At 41.8% G+C, this 22972-nt stretch overlaps 2 gene segments (V, D, J or C) and 1 further gene, besides 4 other annotated features; 1 reads left to right on the plus strand and 2 right to left on the minus strand.

The window, feature by feature from the left end:
• The window catches only part of IGK (immunoglobulin kappa locus), a 1378008-nt gene that overhangs the window by 120345 nt on the left and 1234691 nt on the right, over nt 1-22972 (plus strand).
• Nucleotides 763-1279, minus strand: IGKV3-7 (immunoglobulin kappa variable 3-7 (non-functional)). The segment is given in 2 exon segments: nt 763-1061; nt 1231-1279. Coding segments are annotated over 2 exon segments (348 nt in total), but the record flags the coding sequence as incomplete, so codon positions are not given.
• Nucleotides 1051-1061: a sequence feature (IGKV3-7 leader sequence).
• Nucleotides 1231-1279: a sequence feature (IGKV3-7 leader sequence).
• On the minus strand, nt 14704-15173 carry IGKV1-8 (immunoglobulin kappa variable 1-8). The segment is given in 2 exon segments: nt 14704-14999; nt 15125-15173. Coding segments are annotated over 2 exon segments (345 nt in total), but the record flags the coding sequence as incomplete, so codon positions are not given.
• Nucleotides 14989-14999: a sequence feature (IGKV1-8 leader sequence).
• Nucleotides 15125-15173: a sequence feature (IGKV1-8 leader sequence).

Raw genomic sequence — 22972 nt, forward strand, 5'->3', positions numbered from 1 at the left:
AGTGCTTCACATCAGATGTTACATAATGTCAACATGTCTTATAGGTGGTAATAAACGAATATGATCAATGAAATCCCATTTGGAAGGAAGTTTTGGACAAAAATAATGAAAACAACTGCTTCTATCACTCTTTCTACTAGGTCATTGCAGACGTCATTAGGAATAATCTATTTCTTCCTTATCGAATATGTACTTTATTTTAACAAACTTTAATCTTTTTACAGTCTACTGCATCACAGAGAAAATTGAAGAAATAATTTAGTTAACTTTTAAATGGCAAATGTTTCCATAATAACCATTTGCCACTGAAATGTTGATAGCCTGAAGAAAGAAAAAGAATGGGATTTATTCAGCCATGGTAGTATCTTCACATGAACAGCTTTTACCGAGTCAACTATTTGGATAAATAAATAGAATTTTCTACTACTTAGAATGTTGCAAAATTCAAATGGAGCAGTGTAGCATGCACTGAGCTACCTCTACTGGGAAAGTTAAGAACCACTGAGGCTATATAAGGATTCATACAGTGAGTCACTATTTCTGGAAACCTGGGATTCTGGTGCCTCAGTTGAACAGAGTCCAAGAATCAAAGTCCAAATTGTTCAATGATTTTTTTTTAGAACTGCAAAATGTCCAAATAGAGCAGAGACGCTAAAACTGAGTGGCCACCACATTAGCTGTCTGTAAAGGAAGCAGCTGGTAAAATCTAGTAAACACTGATGGTCTTGTTGAGGTTTTTGTTTCATGTTGAATCACTGTGGGAGGTAAGTTATAATCCTGCTGACAGTAATAAACTGCAAAATCTTCAGGCTGCAGGCTGCTGATGGTGAGAGTGAAGTCTGTCCCAGACCCACTGCCACTGAACCTGGCTGGGATGCTAGTGGCCCTGGTGGATGCACCATAGATGAGGAGCCTGGGCGCCTGGCCAGGTTTCTGCTGATACCAGGTTAAGTAGCTGCTGCTAACACTCTGACTGGCCCTGCAGGAGAGGGTGACTCTTTCCCCTGGAGACAAAGACAGGGTGGGTGGAGACTGTGTCATTACAATTTCTCTGGTGGTATCCAAGATTGGAAATAAAACAGAAATGCACTCATGTAATCTAGATCAAACCAGCTGTCTTTGAGTAGAGCCAAAATTGTTGATCTACATTGAATTTTAATTATATTTCTTGCTGAGCAGAGGTGGCAGGAGTTTTCACTGATGTGCAAAACCACCTCATGTTCCCCTCACCTGGGAGCCAGAGTAGCAGGAGGAAGAGAAGCTGAGCTGGGGCTTCCATGGTTCCGTCTGGGTCCTAACTGAGCAGTTCCTTCCCAGGGCTCTGACCCAGGCATTGATATGGGCTCTGGAAGGTAGGGCAGCTGGGAGGGACATGCAAAGCAGCTGGGTGGGAGCTGAGCTTCCAGCTGCAGAGACCACCTGCTTCTTCCTCTCTGCACTGAGCGTCCTGTGCCTCCCTGGTTGTCAGGCCAGAAAAGTCTGTTGGCTCAGTCTGAGTGTAGAACTCCTCCCTTGTGCTCACATAATTTCACTCCTGTGCCTTTCTTCTCTTCAATCACCTAAATACACCCGTATGATATTTGGCACAAGTCTGTTAAGAACAATATAAAAGGCTGTGTTTTCATTTCTCTCTTCCTGTCCTCAGTATGCCCAGTCATCTCCCTAAGTGCATTATTGGATCTATGGAAATGAAGAGTCTGTTAGAACTTAATCTTCCAGATAGACATTTTTTTTTTTTTTTTCTGAGACGGAGTCTCGCTCTGTCTTCCAGGCTAGAGGGCAGTGGTGCGATCTCCACTCACTGCAAGCTCTGCCTCCCGGGTTCATGCCATTCTCCTGCCTCAGCCTCCCAAGTGCCTGGGATTACAAGCGCCTGCCACCACGCCCAGCTAATTTTTTGTATTTTTAGTAGAGACGGGGTTTCACCATGTTAGCCAGGATGGTCTCGATCTCCTGACCTGGTGATCCACCCGCCTTGGCCTCCCAAAGTGCTGGGATTACAGGCATGAGCCACCGCGCCCGGCCCAGATACACCTTTCATTTGCTTATTAGTAATGTTTTCTGAGGGTCCTGAAGCTTTCCATTAACCCAGACACATACCCTCTTTGAGTTAAAAACTTCTGTTTACAGTCACATGTCCTGGCAGCCCTGACATAGATGCTCCATGGCTTGCCGATTGCTTGAAATTAATCAAGTAACTTAACTTCCCTGTGTCTCGGTTTCCATATCTGTGTAACTGTGACAATAGTGGTACCTGCCTTACAGTGCTGTAGACAGTTTAAAGAAAATAAGATAAAACATTTACAATAGTATTCAGGACATTATGTATGTGGCAATTAATTTTGTTTTCATTGTTTAAATATTCAGCACTACAGTCATCATCATTATAAATATACTTAGCATGGAAAATAGTCTTAAATCTAATCCAAGAATGTTTTATCCACAGTCAAATTAAATTCTAAGGCATTTTCTTCAGTAACTGTACACAACTCTTAAAATCCTAATGATTTGATCTTAATCTGTGCTAAAGTACTCAGACCTTCCATCATTCCCATCCATCCCTGTCTAACGCATTACTTCTCATCATCCATTATTTAAATGTTACCCTATAAACGGTCCCCATGTCCTGTTGCTGTCCTTCTTTCTTATGTAATCTTTATTCTACCTTGTTATCTTTTATGTTATTCTTGCCCCAGGACTGACAATAAGGAAAAGCTACCATCATTTCTTGTAGACTTGCTCCAGTATAATTTTTTCAGGCTTGTTGTCTTGGAAATGAGGATTGTGTCTTGCAAAGAAACATATTCATTGGGTCAATGTGTTATGAAATAAAAGATTTTATCTACTTATGATCCAATAATTAATTTAGACTGACTTGAACAGATTTTTAATGACAAAAAGGAGAAGACGATATAAGAGAAAAATTTAATACAATAGAAAACACAAGCTAATATAACGCTTGCTTCATGGATTTTTACATGTATATTAGACATATGCTGGGTATATGTGCGCAACGACAATCTAAAAACTGAATGATAACTAGCTTAAGGAATGCCTGCATTACACTGAGTCTTGCCCACTTTTCCAGTTATGAAAAGAAAGCTACAGCACTATTTGTATGAGTATCAAACCTTCTAGATGCTGTGATAGAGGTAGAGAAGATTTACTGAGACCAAAGCCTTGGAAGTAGTAGATGCTTGTTCTATGATATTATGTGGCTGTGGTTGCCGTTGTTAGGAAATACAGTGGGAGTGAAAGCAAGGAGAAGATTTACAAGCTCTGCTCTTCCTCATACTCACAACCCCCTCTAGAGATGGACAGATGTTGGTCCAGGAATCTCTGACACCTCTTAGAAGCCTTTTGCTCTTTCCAGAATGTTTCCTGACAAGTATTGTTTTGAGTCACAGATTAGGTGAAACTAGGTGTAGAAGAAAGGACTAGAGCAAGGGAAGAAGTTTTCCATCCCAGACAGTTGTTGTAGGAACAGGGAAATTGAATTTTTCATAGATTTATGTGACACTTGTATCATGTTGGGGAGAGAGGCATCAAACCAGGCTCATTACTGAAAGAATTATTACGTTATTTAAGAGAGAAAGAACTGTGAATTTCTTGTCAAATAGATGTTTAAAATTCAAAACTACTATTTTTTTTTTGGAGATAGAATCTCACTCTGTCACCCAGGCTGGAGTGCAGTGGCACAATCTTGGCTCGCTGCAACCTCCCTCTCTCCATTTAAAGCAATTCTCCTGCCTCAGACTCCCAAGTAGCTGGGATTACAGGTGTGTGCCAACATACCCAGCTAATTTTCATATTTTTAGTAGAGACGGGATTTTGCCATGTTGGCCCGGCTGGTCTCAAACTCCTGACCTCAGGTGATCTGCCTGCCTCGGCCTCCCAAAGTGCTGGAATTGTAGGATTGAGCCACTGTGCCTGGCCCTACTGATGTATTAATATTATTCATCTTCTTGAATACACCAAGTGGTAAAGTGCAAATCCACACTTTAAACTTGAGATTTCTCCTCCTATGTGAATTATACTAGTGAGGAACAAAAAAATTCTCTGTTGGTGGGGAGATGATGTTTGACAGCGGTCAGTTTGTGAAGCAGAGGCTTATGTCACAGGACTTTTTACAGTATTACATATAAACATGGTGAATGGCCTCAAACACAGAAGAATCAGCTTTTTTCATGAGCCATACTACCACCAAGAAAGAACTGAATTGAAACCTGTGACTACTTGATGAAGGGTGTATAAAGAAGAGGGAAAGATTTGGGAGGCCAAGGCGGGTGGACCACGAGGTCAGGAGATCAAAACCATCCTGGCTAACATGGTGAAACCCCATCTCTATTAAAAATACAAAAAAATTAGCTGGGCGTGGTGGAGTCCCAGCTACTCGGGAGGCTGAGGCAGGAGAATGGCATGAACTGGGGAGTCGGAGGTTGCAGTGAGCCAAGATTGCACCACTGCACTCCAGCCTGGGTGACAGAACAAGAATCTGTCTCAAAAAAAAAGAAGAGGGAAAGAAAAATGACACAAAACACAATGTCATAAATGGAAAGGAAGAAGTCATTACACAGCCTACAGGAGTAAAAAAATAAAGAGAGGATATTATGAGTAATTTTATGTCAACTAACTTGACAAAAGTGGTGCAGGGCAGGTTCTTGGCTACACTCAGGAAGGAATGCAGCGTAAGCTGGTGGTAGAAGAAAACAGCTTTACTGAGGTGGCAGTGTTACAGCTTTGTGTCTGTTCTTGTGAAACAGAGCTACCACATAGGCATTGTGCCAAGAGCAGTAGCGTAGGGGCAGTTTTGCAGTCATATTTATCCCCACTTTTAATGACATGCTAATAAAGGAGTGGGTTATTCAGGAATAGCTAGAAAATGGGCAGTAACTTTCAGGTTTTGCCATGGCAATGGTAAACTGATATGGCACTGGTGGGCATGTGTTATGGACAGGTGCTTCCAGTGTCTCTTCCTTGTGTCAGCCAGTCTTCAATCTGGTCCTGGGTTGAGTCCCACCTACCTCCTATCTCATTGCTCCCTCAGAGATTAGATACTCCTCCTTAATCTTAAGGGGACTGCAGAAGAGCAGAGTCCCTTTTCTGTAAGTGCTTCCTGCTGACTTTATGGGGGCAGGCCTTCCCTAGCCTTTGAGGAGTAAAAATCTTTGGTACCTGAACTAAGGGGTCCAATGGCACGATGCATTCATTTGTGGGGTCAGAAGACAGAATGGGTTGGAAGACTTATGACAGACCGTATCATCTTTACATGAAATTTAGAAGACATAAACTTTACTAGGATGTTAAACAAGAAAATTATAATTGGAAGAGAGGGAAAAATTAATGCTCCTAGGTCCACCTACGGAACCATGTTATTAATCCATGTGTTTGCAAAACAACAACCTTAAGTTTTCTGTTTTATAAATGGAGGTTGTGGTGTCCCCCTTTTGTGGCTGTAGGACCTTGTAAGAAACAGGTTTAATCCTGGGCAGCTGTACCCAACTAGTGGCTTCCTGAAGCCTAACAGTAATTAAGAGTAATAAAGAATATCTGATAATGGCTCCTTATTCTGGTTATTATTGATTCTTGGGGGATCATTTTGTTGTTGTTGTTGTTGTTGTTGTTGTTTTTTGAGATGGAGTCTCGCTCTGTTGCCCAGGCTAGAGTGCAGTGGCACAATCTTGGCTGGGCTCACTGGAACCTCTGCCTCCAGTTTTCAAGCTATTTTCATGCCTCAGCCTCCTGAGTGGCTGGGATTACAGGCATGTACCACCATGCCCAGCTAATTTTGTAATATTAGTAAAGATATGGTTTTGCTATGTTGGCAAGGCTGATTTCGAACTCCTGGCCTAAGTGATCCGCCCATCTCAGCCTCCCAAAGTGTTGAGATGAAAACGTCACAGGAGCTGATGAAAAAGGAAAAGGAGACAGCAATGATCCCAGGCCTTTTTAAAGGGAGAACAAGCTGAAAGCAGCAAAATACAACAGTTAAATCTCTAAGACACTAATCTCAGAAGTTTTAAAAGAAACTCATTATCGTATCACAGGCAAAATTTTTTGTTTTACTTGTTTTTTTTTTTTTTTTTTTTTTTTCTTTTTTTTGAGATAGAGTCTCGCTTTGTCACCCAGGCTGGAGTGCAATAGCGTGATCTTGGTTCACTGCAACCTCCACCTCCCAGGTTTCAGCCATTCTCCTGCCTCAGCCTCCTGAGTTGCTAGGGTTACAGGTACATGCCACTGTGCCTGGCTAATTTTTGTATTTTTAGTAGAGACAAGGTTTTACTATGTTTGCCAGGCTGGTCTTGAACTCCTGACCTCAAATGATCCTCCCACCTTGGGATTACAGGCATGTAATCCCAAAGTGCTGGGATTACAGGCATGGGCCACCATGCTCAGCCTTAAAGCTGTATTTTTATTAAGTAAAGTGTAGAAGAAAAAGTGTAAATAAAGTGACAGAAGGAAAACACAAGGCTGTTATGGAAAATGATAACCTTAGGGCAGAAAACAAGAAAAGGCAAACCAAGATTTCCATAGGGTGAGGCTCCAATCCACAATCCTCGGATGAATGTCAATGCTAAAAACCCTGGAGCCTCCAGGGAGTGGCCAACAGTACTAAATGCTGAAAACCCAGAGTACACGAGTATCAGCCTATGAATGTCCCACACCAAATGCCAGGAAACCCTGGAGTATCCAGGGGCTGACCAGTGCAGAAAATCCTGGAGCCTCAGTGGGGTGGCCAACAATGAGCCCCAAAGGCCTGGTTGGGGCCATAGAACAATGTGACTCTGGCTTCTTAGAGTCAACAGAACAGGAGAATTCTTACATCCAAGTGTCCTGCCTTAAACAATTGCACAAACATAATTAGTAGGGACCCAAAGAAAAAACTGCAAAGCAAACACATATATCAGGACAGAAAATAAGATAAAATGGCTGATGGATAAATAAAATGTCATTAGAGGAGAAATGACTAAGAGAAAGATCAATGAGGATGTAGTCAGGTGTGCTATGGGGGACTTCAAATGGACTATTTAGCCAAAGGCCTTATTTCCTGGACCATCTGACATAGGGCAGGTGGGTAGATGGGACACTTACAGGTGTGCAGGAGCCAAAATGGTGCCAAGCAGTCTCTAACATGAGGCCTGCGTGAAGATCTCTCCAGGCTCCCCAGCTTGGGTGGGTTGAACTCCCACGGGTGAACTGGTGCATGGAGCGGCTGGCCTGCATGAAGCAGTGGCTCTGTGGCCACTTACCTAACTGCTCAGCTCCACCGCCTGTCAGGAAAGATGATGGCTCTTAAAACAGCCTTTGGCCAGTGTTAACAGCTCTGCAATGTTAGCAACTATGTAGCTTTAATCGCTGTAGCGCCGATCTCGCCCTCTCTCACTGATCGCTGACTTGCCACTTCTCCAATAGCTGTCTCGCCCATTGCTGATCGCTATGTCCATCTTCTCACAAAATGCCATCTCTTGCTGTCTCTTGCTGTCTTGCTTCTCCACTGTTTCTGCTGTCTCACCACCACATCAAACACTGCCTCTCACCATGTCCCATTTATCCTCCCTCCTTATTAAACATCCATCTGCATGTCCAGGCCTGGCATCCCCAGGCTGATGTCTCTGTCCTGGGCCAGGTACTGGAGAGTATTGTTCCTCCAACTTCACCAATAAGCCATGGTTCTCTCAAATCAAATTATCTCACTGCACCAATTTTGCCAAGGTTTGCAGTGTACTGGTCACCAACTTACCCAAATCTACTGGGACACAATTCCCATGCACAACGAGTAACATGAAGTGGATTACTACCTACAGAGAGTCAGTCAGAGAGAGCACAAAGCTGCCGGGGCCTGATTGACACTAGACTGTGCCTACCCCACAAGGACTGCAGCTGAGGGACCCTGGAATGCAGCCTACCCTGGGTTTTATGTCTTAGAATCACATGACACACTGGGCTGGAGTGTTGAAGGAATTCCTGTTTCTAGTAGGGACAGAAACAGAACCCAGGCTGTTCTGGCCAATCATGCCCTATCTCAGAATGTTACAGTTCCAGAACATTCTACAGTTATTCCTGAAAACTACAATCAAGAAAAGGAAGGAGACTGGGTTGATTCATGACTAAATGGAAACTGTTCTGCAAATACCACAGTGAAATCAAAACTCAGTATTTTTGAGACTGGGTTATTTCACTTAGTGTAATGTCCTCTAGTTCCATCCATGTTGTAGCATGTGTCAGAATTTCCCTTTTTAAAACTAAATAATATGGAATAGTATGTATATACCACATTTGGATTACCAGTTCCCTCCTTTGTGAACATTTGAGTTGCTTCTACATTTAGCTACTGTGAATAATTTGCTTCTGTATGTGGATATACAAATATCTCCTCAATTTAATGTCTTCCATTACTTGGGTATATGTCCAAAAGTGGAATTGCTGAATTATATAGTATTTCTATTTTTAATCCTTTGAGGAATTGCCATCTTGTTTCCCACAGCAGGTGGGCCATTTACATCACCACGACAGTGTCCACAGGAGTTCCAGTTCCCTAAATTCTCACCAAGACTGGTCATCCTCTGTTGGAAAAAAACATTCTAACAGGCATCAGGTGGGTTTTGTTTTTATTTTTCTAAGGATTAATAATATTGAGCATCGTTTCCTATGCTAGTTATCTAAATATCTCTAAAGTATCTTCTTTAGGGAAATGTCTATTCATATACTTTTCTCATTTTTAACCAGTTATTTTATTTTTACTGTTCACATGTAGAACTTATTTTTGTATAGTAGATATTATTAACCCCTTATCAGATATGATTTTCAAATATTTTCTTCTATTCCACATGTTGCATTTTCACTGTGTAGGTTTTATCTCTTGATGCCCATTTTAAATTTTTATGTAGTCCAATTTAATTTTTTCTTCTTTTGCCTGTATTTTGGTGTTAAAGGTGTTAGTATTTAAATGTCTGTAAATATTCACTTACTACGCTGAGAATGTCACACTTCACCTTCTCTCTCTGATGGTGGAGCTAAGAGTGTTACACTCTCCCATTTTGTCCTAGGGGACAGTGAAGCTAGGTGAGAACCCAGTGGCTTTTCTGAGCTTATTTGTCTTGCATTTTTGGTGACATGGATTGTTGTTCACATCAGCTTCCTCTGGCAAGTCCACCTGGAAAGCATTATATTTAGCAAGAAAAAAGGAGGCTCTGAATGATGTCACTGTAAGCTGTTTATATTCCCTGTTACAAATGTCAAATCCGTGAAGCATAAAGGGATTTACTAGAGGATATTAAATTCCTTAGAAATTGTTGAAAAGCCTTAAGCAACAGGCTCCAGGCAAAGCCTCTGGAACAATTCCAAGAATGGCACTGCTGGCGCAGGTTGGGGAGGAGCTCCTGCTGCCTGAGACTCCACATTCAAGCTGTCTCCTGCAGGAAAGAGAGCAGCTCTTCTCACTACTGCCCCCCGAAGGACAGCTGCTCCGCTATCAACTACTAGAGACCTGACCCCTTTCTCTGCAGACCTGCCTGTGTTGATTACATCTTCATTTCAGTCTCATGTAGATTCATCTGTTTTCATGGATTCAGGGGCTATTTCTGCCCAAGTCCACCCTGTGGCTTTCTATCATAAATACACATCTTTCTACACTCGAATTTCTAGTCATTACTAGTATCAACAGCAACATGCTAGAACCTCACATAAAGATTTCCTTTACAAAGAACATCATGCTCCCCACGTAGCATTGTGCTCCCCAGAATGTGGGGAAAGTCCAATCTGTTCAGCCCAACACCATGTAGGAAAAAAGGCTCTTCTCTCATGAGCCGTTAATCTGTCTACTTATTATTAATTTGTGGGCTAAACTATAAAGACTGGTAAAAATAGCACTTCGAATTCTTTTAACAAAAGGGTGTAAAGAAAAGATTAAATTATTTAACATGCATATATGCATGACTCATTTCGTTATTGTCACCAGCTTCTTTCATATTTATTTTATTCTCTAGTTTCTGGCAATACTTTCTCTATGGTAGAGTCTGGAAAGGCTACTCCTCATGTCCTTGGCTTCCTAAGTCCCAGATGTGGTGAAGAATGCCCATCAGCTGTGTTACTACGGAGTGCTTTTGGATTGAGATGAGGGAGGGGAAATGGCTGAACTCACTCAAATGTGATCATTTTCTTGGTCTAGGTCACAGCCAGGCAACACAGTCCTCTGGGCACAATATCATCACTTGCCATGTTTCTATCAAAATGAAAGTATCTTTCTTGACTGTGGAAAACATAGGGGTGGGGGCGGGGAGGGTCAAGTAATAGCAAAAGGAGTACTTGGAGTTGCCTGAGCTGCCACTCTGGTTTCCCCAAATGTTTTCAATCCATTTCATTCATGATAATAAACACCTTTCTGCCTAACCAGTCATAATGACTTTTCTCAGATCCAACTGATTCAGTGATAAACCTATAGAGAAAAAATAACTACACTTCTCCATGTTTAAGCTGACCAGGATGCTGTCCCTGGTGTTTACACCTCCATATCCCACTATGCGTTTCATCTTCTCTTTGCCTCACTGGTGATCCAAGTACAGGGAATGCTTCACATGACTGTGATCCCTAGAACTTCGTCCTGATGACGGTTGAAATCTTCTCTGAGTTTTACCAGTGGAAATGGCAATAAATAGAAACATTCCAGAAGGTCCCCTAGGTTCCATATTTTCTGTACTTCCTCTCTAAAATATGTAAAATCAATTATGTTTGCTCTTGCTTTTATGGACTCTATCTATGGCCCCAGCACACACGCTAATGCCCTGTCTTGACAATTTATCCAGTATTTTAATAAATGTAAATGGTCACATGCTTATCATATCATTTCTTCCAATTTCATGGAATAATTTCACATCAACTCTTTGGATTAAGAGCCGTCAACCAAAAAACCACAGCCCTGAATAAATAGAAATAGAGTATTTCAAGCTGTTCATTTGGCATAACAATGATGAGTCTACAGCTCATTTTCAAGATATAAATATTCTGTTTATGGGAGTGACAGCACCATTCATACAGTTACTGTTTCAGAGCCTCCACCATATCTGACAGGACAGCAATTCAATAGCACAAGGGTTTGTGTGCCAGCTTTGCTTGACTAATAATGGGTTTTTCTCTGTCTATAGGGAAAGCACATGACAAGAGCATGAGCTACACTTCACTTCACTTTTTTTGAGGTTAATAAGTTGCTTGATCCAAAGCTATATTACAGAAGAACTTCCTGACTCTGATGAAAGCTCTTGGAAAATCCTCAAATAATATTTTATGCAGAAATATAACCAAAAAGGAAGGCAAATTCATATATAGGAAAATAACCAGTGCCCTCCTCACGTTACATGAGGTCTACTAGTATCACCCGACACCAGCTGTTAGTCTGAGCCCTGATGTGTGGCGCAATGTTAGGGGTTCAAGAGACGTCATTCTTCTTGACAAATTAGGTGTTCAGAAGAGCCAGTAGCCCTGTATGTCTCAGTTAGTTGAAACTCATATTATTGAGTCCCCACAGGGACCTCCATAACCTTGGTTCAGGAGACACCTTGGAAACCTGGGAAAGGTGATTGACTGAAGTCCATCTGTTGAATCATCCTCATTATTAAAAGCCTCCTACTCATTAACGGCATTTCGATTAATATTCGCTTGGAAAGCATGTTTTTATTTTGGCTCATTTTTGAAACGTCTAGTCATAGTTCTTCCTGAACCACTTTGTCTGCAATCATCCTGTTGCATTTCTTTTAAGGGCTGATGATCTGTCAAAAGCAACAGCCAATATTATTACATTGCTGTTCTCTTTGCAATGTTATCATCAGATGTAACCCTTGCAGATTAACCACTGTTACGATTTTTACATTTCCAGGGATTTCTTGACAATGGCAATGATGTGACGCCATCCAGCATCTATTTGTGAGAACTCTATTTGACAAATCATCACTGTGGGTGTGAACATAATGGAGACTTTCATAGGATGCAATGGTTAATATTCAACATTAGTCAAAATTTACTCTAGTCCTACCCTTGGAGCTCTACTGGGTTGGAAAAATATTTTAGATAAGGACAATCATTTCATAGAGTTTTAAAAATAAAGGCTAAAATAAATTTTCTGTAGCAAGAGTATGAACTATATGTAGCCAGCATACCCTTTTTTAGTGGCATATAACAAAAATTATTTAAATGTATTTAATTTAAATAATTGTATAAATATGCATATATAATAAACATACTTAAATATAAATACTATACATGTATATTTGTAGCCAACATTTTATCAGATAAATATATGTAACTTTTATGTATCTTATATACATATATGCACATTTTCCATAAATAAGGTAAATTTTAATTTTTTATTGAATACTAGTTTTAATTTTGTCTTTAATTTTCTCTTAATAACTTCATAATTTAATACTAAATGTTCACATTTATACCACCAACTTAAGAAAAAATCGTGTGTGTAGGTAGAGGTGTAAATACTGTATCAGGAAGCTTTTATGCATTACTGATTGGTAACTGGTTAAATCCACAACTCAGTGGCTGATAACAGTAAACATTTGTTTTCGTGTTCATGGATGCTCATGTTCACAATCATCTGGCTGATCAAGAAAGGGCTCAGCTGAGTGGTTTCTCTGCAGGGCACTGAGCTCATCTTCAGCCTACAGATATGAATTGTCTGAGGACGAGGCTGAACAGCAGTGACTACACATGACACAATATTCTTATGGCAGGTCACAGGAGTGAACAACATCCCAAAACAAACTGCACAGTTGAATTTAAGTCCAATAACTTCTAACATAGCTTCACATATTTTAAATATATTCCTTTATTTCAATGAGTACAAATTTTGAAGAAAATGTTTACTCCATTTAATTATAGAGGTATTTGATCATTCCATGGACAAATAATTATGCTTTCAACTTTTACAATTCTGAAAATACTTGCAAATGTAAATTTGCATTAATAAGAAAATAAAGCTGGATGTGTTTTCAACATGTAGCTTTAAGTATATATATATTTTAATGGCCTCAGTGGGGGAAAATCATTTTAACTTATGTAAATATCCCTTTTTGCCTCTCTTGTGTCCTATAAAGTTGCCCAACAAGAGGTCCTCCCATAAGATTTGGAAATCAGAAAAGGATGACTCAATATTCTCCATTGGTACCTAAGGCAGACACAGGAACAGAGGTGAGGGCTGGAGAAACACCTGGAAGGATGCTGCAGGAAGCTGAGAACATCAACACTCCCACCCCTAAGCTTCCAGACAGGACTGAGGACCACATGGTTAGATAGCCCATACTTCAAGGGCAGATGCATTCTGTTTTCTGAGTGAGCGCCATTCAATCCTGCTTCTAATATCAACTTTCCTGACTACTATATCCTTGGCTTTGAAAGGTTGTAGTCTGAACGTTAATCATAGGCATCGGTTCATTCTTGTTATACCCAAAAGAGCCAAGACACCCAGTGGGGAAAGGCACTCAGGGTGTAAAATATTGTTTCTAGAATGCAATTGAAATAGGCCCTGTTATCCCATGGAACTAAGGTTTATGGTTTTTTGAATAAACAGAAATTGACTCCCCCAGTCTTAAAACTCAAGATAGTTACATTTGTCTTATCTGAGTTCTTTTTTCAGTAAACCAACCATCAGGCCTCGTAGATACTATCAAGGAGCTGAAACATACATATCACTGAATCCGGACACTGAGACATCAGAACCTTCACCCATTATGATTGCATAACTGACCTCTTGCTTCCTGTTGACCAAATTATCTTCCTTACCCCTCCCAAATTCCTGTTTTCCCACATTTTGTCCCTGTTATATAAAGTCTTAATTTTAGTTGGTCAGGGAGATACATTCGCAAATGGTGTCCCATCTCCTCGGCTGCAGTACCTGATTAAAGCCTGTTTCTTGGCAATACTTGTTTTAGAGATTGGCTTTCTGCGTGGTGAGCAGCAGGGTGTACAATGAATCCTTGGCATTTTAGTAAGAAAATTCTCTGCAACCTTCACTGCTTTGGCTTCTTGTAACCTGAATTCACATTTAACTGCAACTTCTGAGACAACTTGATATAATTGATATAATTAGTGAATCCTAATTCACTTTGTCCACCACTGCTTACCAGTCTGAGCTTGCCAGCTCCCAACCCTTACTAGTGCCAGTGAACTTTCTGAAAATGCAAAAGGTAATATTTTCCCTTTTTCATAAAACACTAACCTTCTCTTCGTACTTCCAATATATTGAAGACCACTGAGTTTTCCTGTGTGTCCAATTTGGCAAACATTTCTTTGCAAATAAAACATGAAATTTAGAGATTCCGCTCTACATTTTATTTAGACTTCAGTAGTTTAGACTCTAATTTTCTGTATTAAGACAATTCCTGCTTAGAATATCTATAGTGGTTTCTTCTCTGTTATTTGAATTCCAACCAAAGCCCTAAACTAGACTCCTTAGGTGTCAAGATCTCTGCCTTTATTAAATCAGGAGAGGCATTGTTATGTCTGTGCAGCTGGGGCTTACAAAGAAAAAGGAATTGGGTTGCAGAGGTGATTTCAGGTCCCCCTCTACCAACACCATCAGAGTGTGGTTGCATCTGAGGAACACTCTCAGGCGATGGAGGCATCAGGAGGAGCAGCTGGGGCAGCCCAGCCTCACACATTTGCTTCCCTGGGGGTTTTTGTTTGGGTGTGTAACACTGTGGGAGGGTAACTATAATACTGTTGACAGTAATAAGTTGCAAAATCTTCAGACTGCAGGCAGCTGATGGTGAGAGTGAAATCTGTCCCAGATCCACTGCCGCTGAACCTTGATGGGACCCCACTTTGCAAAGTGGATGCAGCATAGATCAGGAGCTTAGGGGCTTTCCCTGGTTTTTGCTGATACCAGGCTAAATAACTGCTAATACCCTGACTCGCCCGACAAGTGATGGTGACTCTGTCTCCTGTAGATGCAGAGAATGAGGATGGAGACTGGGTCATCCGGATGGCACATCTGGCACCTGAGATTGGAAACATAAAAACAAATGTCCATACAATTAATCATGTTGTAAGAGAACTTCCCTGAAGGGCCAGGCTGTACCAAGCACACTGGGCTGAGTAAATTCCTAGTGTTCTCCTTCCTTACCTGGGAGCCAGAGCAGCAGGAGCCCCAGGAGCTGAGCGGGGACCCTCATGTCTATGCTGTGTCCTGACAGGGTCTGACTCCTGCATGAAGTGTGTCCAGCCTATTAATAAGTCTTCAGGGCAGGAGGTTGTGCCCTGGGAACATGCAAATGAGCAGGGGATGGGGCTGACTGGGCACAGCTGCAGGGCTGGCTCATCTCAGTAACTCAGCACCAGCTCAGTATCCCCAGGTGTCCCAGGAAAGACCAGGGTAGCACAAATTTGTCTGTGGTGAATGTGTTTCTACTGGAGAGTAGTTTGTTATGAGAAACATTTTTTATGTATTTTTTTGAAAATTTGAAATATTCCTCAGGAGTCGACGGAGTAATGTATTTCATTGGCACATGGGGATTATTTGGAATATCTTGTTTGTAGGAAATACATAGTAAAATGTTAAACAGTATGATTCTCAGGACTTCAAAAGACTCTCATATGATTCGGGTTAGGGAAGGAGGTACTTTGTCCTATACTTCAACATTTCTGTGAGTTTTAACATTGTTCCTTTCTAAAAATATTAAAAATAAAATTTATTGACATGATGCTATACATATTTGTAAGTATTAGGTAATGGTGTTATGCCATTGTTCTTACCACTATAAGATCAAGCAATTTACTACAGATACAGAGAGATGATACCGAGTTTCCTCAATGCATGCAGCACTCACACATCCACCATTATCAAGAGCTACAGGTCTCTTTAATACCCAGAGACTAAATTCACTTCACCTTATTCTTGTTTTGGGCACCTTCATTGTCTACCTTCTTTTCTGTCATTGAGTATTACTTTCCAAAGTTCTTCTCTCTTATTGAGGGTGACCACTGCATGGAGCATGTCCCTGTCATGCACCAACAATGCCACTTTCTTCTTTTACGTTTTATCAGGGACATCATCCTGACCCAGACACCATCCTCCCTGTTAACATCTTTAGGAAAGAGACAATCCCTTATCAAGCAATTGCCAACTTACATGGAGAAATCAGCTGGATCCAGATGAAACTGGACATGGATTTGCAGTCATTATATCTCACATCTCTACTGTGCCAAAAATGTCCCAGCCTGGCTTAGTAGCAGGGGACGTGGATCCAACTACATCAGCATCAGTGGGCTGCAGCCTAGGACTCCACAAAATTTTACTGATGCCTGACTAGGGGAGACAAATCACAGTGCTGTAGCCCATGCACAAACCTTCCTGCTGCTTTGTAAGCCACCTGAATTTTAAGGGAACTTGCTTATATTGGGAGAAGGGAAGAAAGCTCCATTTGTCCTCTAAATGTTTGCTGAAAATGAACTGACAAAAGAAAGACTAATAAGAGAAAAGGCAAGCAAAATTCACTTAAAGTGCAGTGGGATATCATAGCGGTGTGATTACTCAGATAACTCAATGAGATCCAGTTGTTCATACTTCCTTTCTAGCGAAGAGGTAATTGGGAAGTGTAGGCAACCTGGAGAGAATAGATGAGGATAGAAGTGCATCCTCAAAAGAACAGGTAATAGCCTGTCTGGATAAAGCATCAACTTCTAATCTCTTCTATTTTTGATTCCTATTTTGTGTTAATCTTCCCTGATATAAAATTTCCCAGGAAGAATTTTCTTGACAATCAGTTTCCTTCTGGAGAAGCTGCTTTTAAGCAGATAAAGGAGTGAGATAAAGGAGTGGAGTGAGCATACCCCAACAGCTAAAACTCACAAGTTAGAGGATTTATAAGTCAGACTCTAAGTCTCAGATTTTGTACCGCCCTCTTGCTTCATAAAAATGCTTTGTTATTTTTTAAATTTTACTTTAAAGAAGGACAATTTTGGAGAATATATTAATTTTTGGTGGAATGAATAATGTCCCCACCCCAAAAGATATCCAGGTCCTTGTCTCTGGAACCCAAGTTTTATAGGAGTTATTAAGAAATTATTTTAGGCAGATAGAGAGGAAAAGGCATCCTTGGTAAGATTTTGTTTCTTTTAAAGCAACTCCAGACATGTTTCTTGTCTAATAGGAAAGCTCCGGCTCTTAGAGCCAGGCTGGCAAGATTTGATATGCAAATGAAGGCCATTAGAAACTGGGTCCACCCTAACATGGCTATTCCTACCTTCTTCTTCCTTGCCCCTACATGTGCCTGGCAACATGGCTGCCCCCACATATCCCCATGTGTGTAGAACATTATGATGCCCTACATGTGCATATTGAAAGGCTAGGGTGGGAGGGCCAGTTTTTGCTCAGGCTATGTGAATAACATGCCTGGTCAAACCAATCCCTTGAGCCCTTTGCAAATCAGACACCACCTCCTTCATTCTCCTCATATAAGCAGCCACTTTTCCACCACAGATGGAGTTTTCTCTTTGTTGGAATCCCCTGTCCCTCTGTCTTTGTACAGGGTAGCTGTTTAGCTGTTTTATTCTTCCTTCCTTCTTACATATTAAACTTTTCTCTCCTTAAAACCACTCCACATCTTTCTGTGGCATTTTATCCAAAGCAGTGTGAAACAGCAAGAACCCTGGTGTTCCTCCAGTCATTGGAGCCATATCATAAGGATTCTACCTTATGATAGATAGCAAAAAATGACCTTGATAGATGTAAGTTAAGGACTTTGAGAATAAGCTTCCTGGTTATCCAGATGAAATCAATACAATCACAAAGGTCCTTAAAATAGAGGAGGAGGATTGCAGTCAGAGAGGAGCTGGGACAATGGGGACGGATGTTGTTTGAGGAAGGAAGGGGCCATGGAACCAGAAATATGGGAGCACATTGAAGATAAGAAGCAGAGAATCCAGTTCTCTCCTCTGGAGCCTCCAGAAGGATTACAGCCCCACTGACACCTTAGCATTAGCTCAGTGAGACTTCTGACCTCCAGAACTACAGGGTAATACATTTATGTTGTGTGAAGCCAATAAGACTGTGGCAATTTAAACAGCAGCGTTGGAAACTAATGCAAGGGGAAGAGATGTCTTTCAGCTCACTGAGAGCATGCTTGTCCTCTGTTCTTGGAAATATTTCCACCTTGTTATCTGGTGTCAGACAAGAGACAGAGAAAATTTTTTCTGAGAGAAGAGCTCGTACAAAAATTCTTTTTAGCTAGAAATTCTCTTTGGAAAATCCCATGATTATCTCTTATACGATCTGGGTATCACAGAGTTTAGGGGTCAGAACTCACAGCACATGATAGGAGGAAGAGGGTTTTGTTAGTTTGTTTTCATATTAGGAGGGAAAATTAGATTTTCAGGACACAATCTGAGAGGGACAGACTGGGACAGGGATATTGTAAGAGAAAGAGGAGATGTGGAAGGTGTCAGAGCAATGAAACATGTGTCCCTGCTTCCAAATCTAAAATAAAGTCATTGATTTTAGAAGGTGAAGCAAAGCTCTTCACCTTCCATCTTCTTATGAAGGATCAAATTCTACCCAGAGTTCCTGTCCCTCCTTTACTCCCCTGACATTGTATTGTGGAGCTAATCACATGTGCCTTAATCCCTGCTCCTGTCCCGGGCTGGGAGAGGCTCACTGTCCTCACCATGCCCAGCAGGCTAGAGCTCATGCCCTAGACACCAAAGGAGAAGAGGATGGTTTCTGTACAGGAGGTAAGAGCTTTACCACATGTTACATTTCACTATAATTCTAAGTAAAGTTGTGTGGAGAGAAGAGAACATATGGGCAACTCTGTCTGGTAGAGTTGGAAGAGGGCAGTTTCTGAGAGTGACAATGAATTCACATTTCTAAATTTTCAGATGGCAAATGCTAGCTTTAGCAATTGTGGAAATGTGGACTTTGAGTTTAAGAACAAGACAGACTTTCAGATACTGCAATAAATGAGGAGACATTTGGAATAGGGTCCTTAGCCCAGGGCTAAGGTCAGGCTGGCAGTGCCTGAGAGATGCCAGGCACTGGCCCTGGGCTGTGGAGGAAGCAGCTGCTCTCCTGAGCCACAGGGCTGAGAATCTGGGAGGAACCACAGGCCCTGGCCACAGGGCTGCCTGGCAGGGCTTCAGGGAAGGAAACTGCTCACAAATTCAGGGGAGCTGCATTAAGCATATATCCCCCAGCCTGGCAAGAGTAAAAGTCTCAGAGACCCAGACCTTAGGGCTGGTGCTGGGATCCTGGGCTGGCTGCTGTCAGCTCTGCCCTCCCTGGTGCTGAATGACTGGGACCCTGCTGGAGCCAAAAACGGACAGTCAGCAAATGTCCTTAAAGTCTTTACTCAGCCAGACTCTATTCTGCTTGGTCAGAAAAGAAACACACGCTACACAAATAAGCATAAAATTATATGTATCTGTAATATGAATTTCTATTGTGAACTTTACATATTGAATACATATTTAAGAAATAAGTTGTATTTATATATTTGTATATACTATGTATTTATGAATAAATATGTGATGCATGTTTATATATAAAGAGATATAACTTTGGTTGCTAGTATAAGGTATAGTTTTAAACTTAAATAAATTTAACATGAACATTGAAAATGAGCACTGGGTGCACCACCTCATGGCCCTCCTCACTCCAGGACCTGAGGGTCATAAAGCTCAGTACCCTCTTCCATGTTCCCCCTGGGCTGAGAGAAGTGAACTGCCCGTTGCTGAGGATCATGAGTGACCTGAGGGGGGTCTACGGAATCACAGAACAGCAGATGCCCAGGAAATGGATAGTGGGTCTGGGCCCTGAATGGAGGGACGTTTTGTTTCCAGAGCTCAGCATAGACAAGTCCTCCTCTGGTCATTTCTGTCAAACAAAGCAGCATATATGGCTCAGAGGCTGCATTGTCACAGGATGAAGCCCCTCCATGGCTCATTCCCAGCTTCCCCTCTGACTGGGGTGATGTGGGATCTCTGCCCAGCTTTCATGGCTCACCAGCTGCTGGGACTCTGTTGACAATGGCCTATGTCTGCCCCATGCACAAGCTTCTCAATAGTTGCCATTTTACTTTCTGGTCTCCAATAACCACAACTTGCCAACCATGACCCTTCCACAAAGATTCATAGAGTGGGGTCAGAACTATGGGTTCAGCAACGTGCCGGGGCATGCAGGTAAGAGACACAAGGCGTGGCCAGCCCGTGTCTGAAGTGAGGATGAATTTGCATCATGAATTCAGAGTAGGAGATGGGAGAAAACATCCTGACATGCTCCAGGCAGTGATGCCCACAAGATACACTAGAGGTGCCCATAGAGGAGGTGGGAAGGGGATTTCAGGCAGAGGGGATGCGAATTTAGAGATGTCCCCCAGCCTGTTCCCCTGAGAAGATTTCAGACACTTAGTAGCCCCTGGGCACTTTGAGAGACCGAGGAGAAAGGACCATGTAAGGCCAAGAATTTGATGCCAGCCTGGGCAACACAGGGAGACCCCATGTCTACAAAACACACACACACACACACACACACACACACAATTTGTTAAAATGTGTGAAAAATAGCATCACAAAGTGATTATGTATGAACATTTGCTCAGAAAATTAGAAAACAAAGCAATGTCTTCTGAGCTAACAATACTATAATAAAGATGTCAATTTTTTAGCTATAGTAATACAGAGAACATGATATTGTCTATCTTAACCATTTCTAAGAGTGTAGTGCAATGCCATTAAATATATTCACATTGCTCTGCTATTATTACTGATACTAAATCCAGAACCATTTTCATCTGAATAAAATTAATATCTATATCCTTTAAACAATACTCCCCCCCATTTCCTCTATCCCTACCGCCAGCAACCTCCATTCCAGTTCTGTCTCTATGTCATTGACATATTTGAAGCAGGTTCACTCTGCACTGGTTACCAACATACTTGAGTGTGGGGAACACAACACCCCCACACAGCAAGTTACATGAAATGGGTTTATTATTTACAGATAAGCAGCAAGGGAACACCACAAAAGTCTTGGACTTATTATGGGTCAGTCCCTCAAGGCACAGGAAAGCCATGTGGAGCTGATGGAGTTGACTATGTGTACCCCACATGCACCACAGCTCAGGAATCCAGGAAAGCAGCCACTCAGGGTTTTATATCCTGAGCTAAGAAGACACACAGGGCTAAAGTGCTAACGGACATCCTATTCTATGGGAAACTGGTATAGAGCACAGGTAGGTTGTTCTGCTCAGTTCCTCTCCATCTCAGGATGTTACGATTCCAGCAAATTCTACAATTATTCTTGAGAACTCATAAAATAAGCAAGAAAGTGGAGAGAACTAAGTCAGTCCAGGGTCATTGGAGAACTGTTTTGCAATTACCCCACCACCTAGACATCCCCCTTAGCAAAGCTAGCATATTTCATATGCCCACCAACTTCCCTTGAACTGGAGGCAGAAGTTTATCTTTTCAGATTGATGAAGCACCTTGACTAACACAACTTCAATGCAGATTATGAAGCCATAGTGAGAGTACATTTCACTGGGCCACGAAAAGCTAGTACCACTGGTGTAGGGTCCAGCCCTGTGGGGCTTAGTGGGGGTTCTCCCCATGTGCAGAGATGAGAGATTGTAATAAAGAAAGACACAAGACAAAGAGATAAAGAGAAAGCAGCTTGGCCTGGGGGACCACTACCATCAAGACGTGGAGACTGGTAGTGGCTCTGGACGGCTGGGCACACTAATATTTATTACATACAAGACAAGGGGGGCAGGGTAAGGAGGGTGGATCTTCCAAGTGATTGATAAGGTGAAGCAAGTCACGTGATCATAGGACAGGGGGCCCTTCCCTTTTAGGTAGCCGAAGCAGAGAGAGAGAAGACAGCATACGTCAGCATTTTCTTCTACGCACTTATAAGAAAGATCAAAGACTTTAAGACTTTCAGTATTTCTTCTACCGCTACCTACTACGAACGTCAAAGAGGAACCCGGAGTATGGGAGGAACATGAATGTGGACAAAGAGTGTGACCATTGAGGCACAGCACCACAGGGAATGGTTTAGGCTTCCGGATGACTGTGGGCAGGCCTGGATAATATCCAGCCTTCCACAAGAAGCTGGGGGAGCAGAGTGTTCCCTGACTCCTCCAAGGAAAGGAGACTCCCTTTCGCGGTCTGCTAAGTAAAGGGTGTCTTCCTAGACACTGGCATTACTGCTTGACCAAGGAGCCCTCAAGTGGCCTTTATGCAGGTGTGACAGAGGGCTCACCTCTTGCCTTCTAGGTCACTTCTAGCAATGTCCCTTCAGTACCTGACACTATACTCTTAGGTTATTCCTAGGTTATATTAGTAATGCGACAAAGAGTAATATTAAAAGCTAATGATTAATAATGTTTATAATAGTGATTGATAATTGTCCATGATCATCTCTATATCTAATTTGTGTTATGACTATTCTTATTCTAACTATTTTCTTTATTCTACTGAAACAGTTTTGCCTGCAGTCTTTTCCTCGGCACCTACGTAATCTTTCACACACACACTGGCAGGAGGGTAAGACTCCCCAAAGCAGTGACTAAGATGTTAAGAAGTGAAAGGGGGATCTTTCAGATGCCCTATTCTCTGCAGCCAGTGGGCCTGCTTTAGGATCACCTCTACTTGTATTTCTAGAATACCCGAGGTGTTTATCCAGGCACAGCAGGTAGTATTGGGTGTTGGTAATTGCGTGGAAAGTCTCCGTTGGGTTCCTCAAGAATGTGCCCATTGTCATGCGGATTGGGCGGTTGTTTCTTGGTCAGAGTGAAGTCTCATGGGGTATCCAAAAACATGACATAAATTCCTTTCAAAGGTCACCATGGTAGCCCCAGCATCTAACTGAGTGACATACATTTAGCTGTCCAGGAAGCAAGCTATGGCCATAGTCCTTTTCCCTACACAGGGGATCCTTTAATAGTTCTGCCACTCAGTTGCTATTTTCCTGACC

Source organism: Homo sapiens, chromosome 2 (genome assembly GCF_000001405.40).
Source record: "Homo sapiens chromosome 2, GRCh38.p14 Primary Assembly".
Classification (NCBI taxonomy): domain Eukaryota; kingdom Metazoa; phylum Chordata; class Mammalia; order Primates; family Hominidae; genus Homo; species Homo sapiens.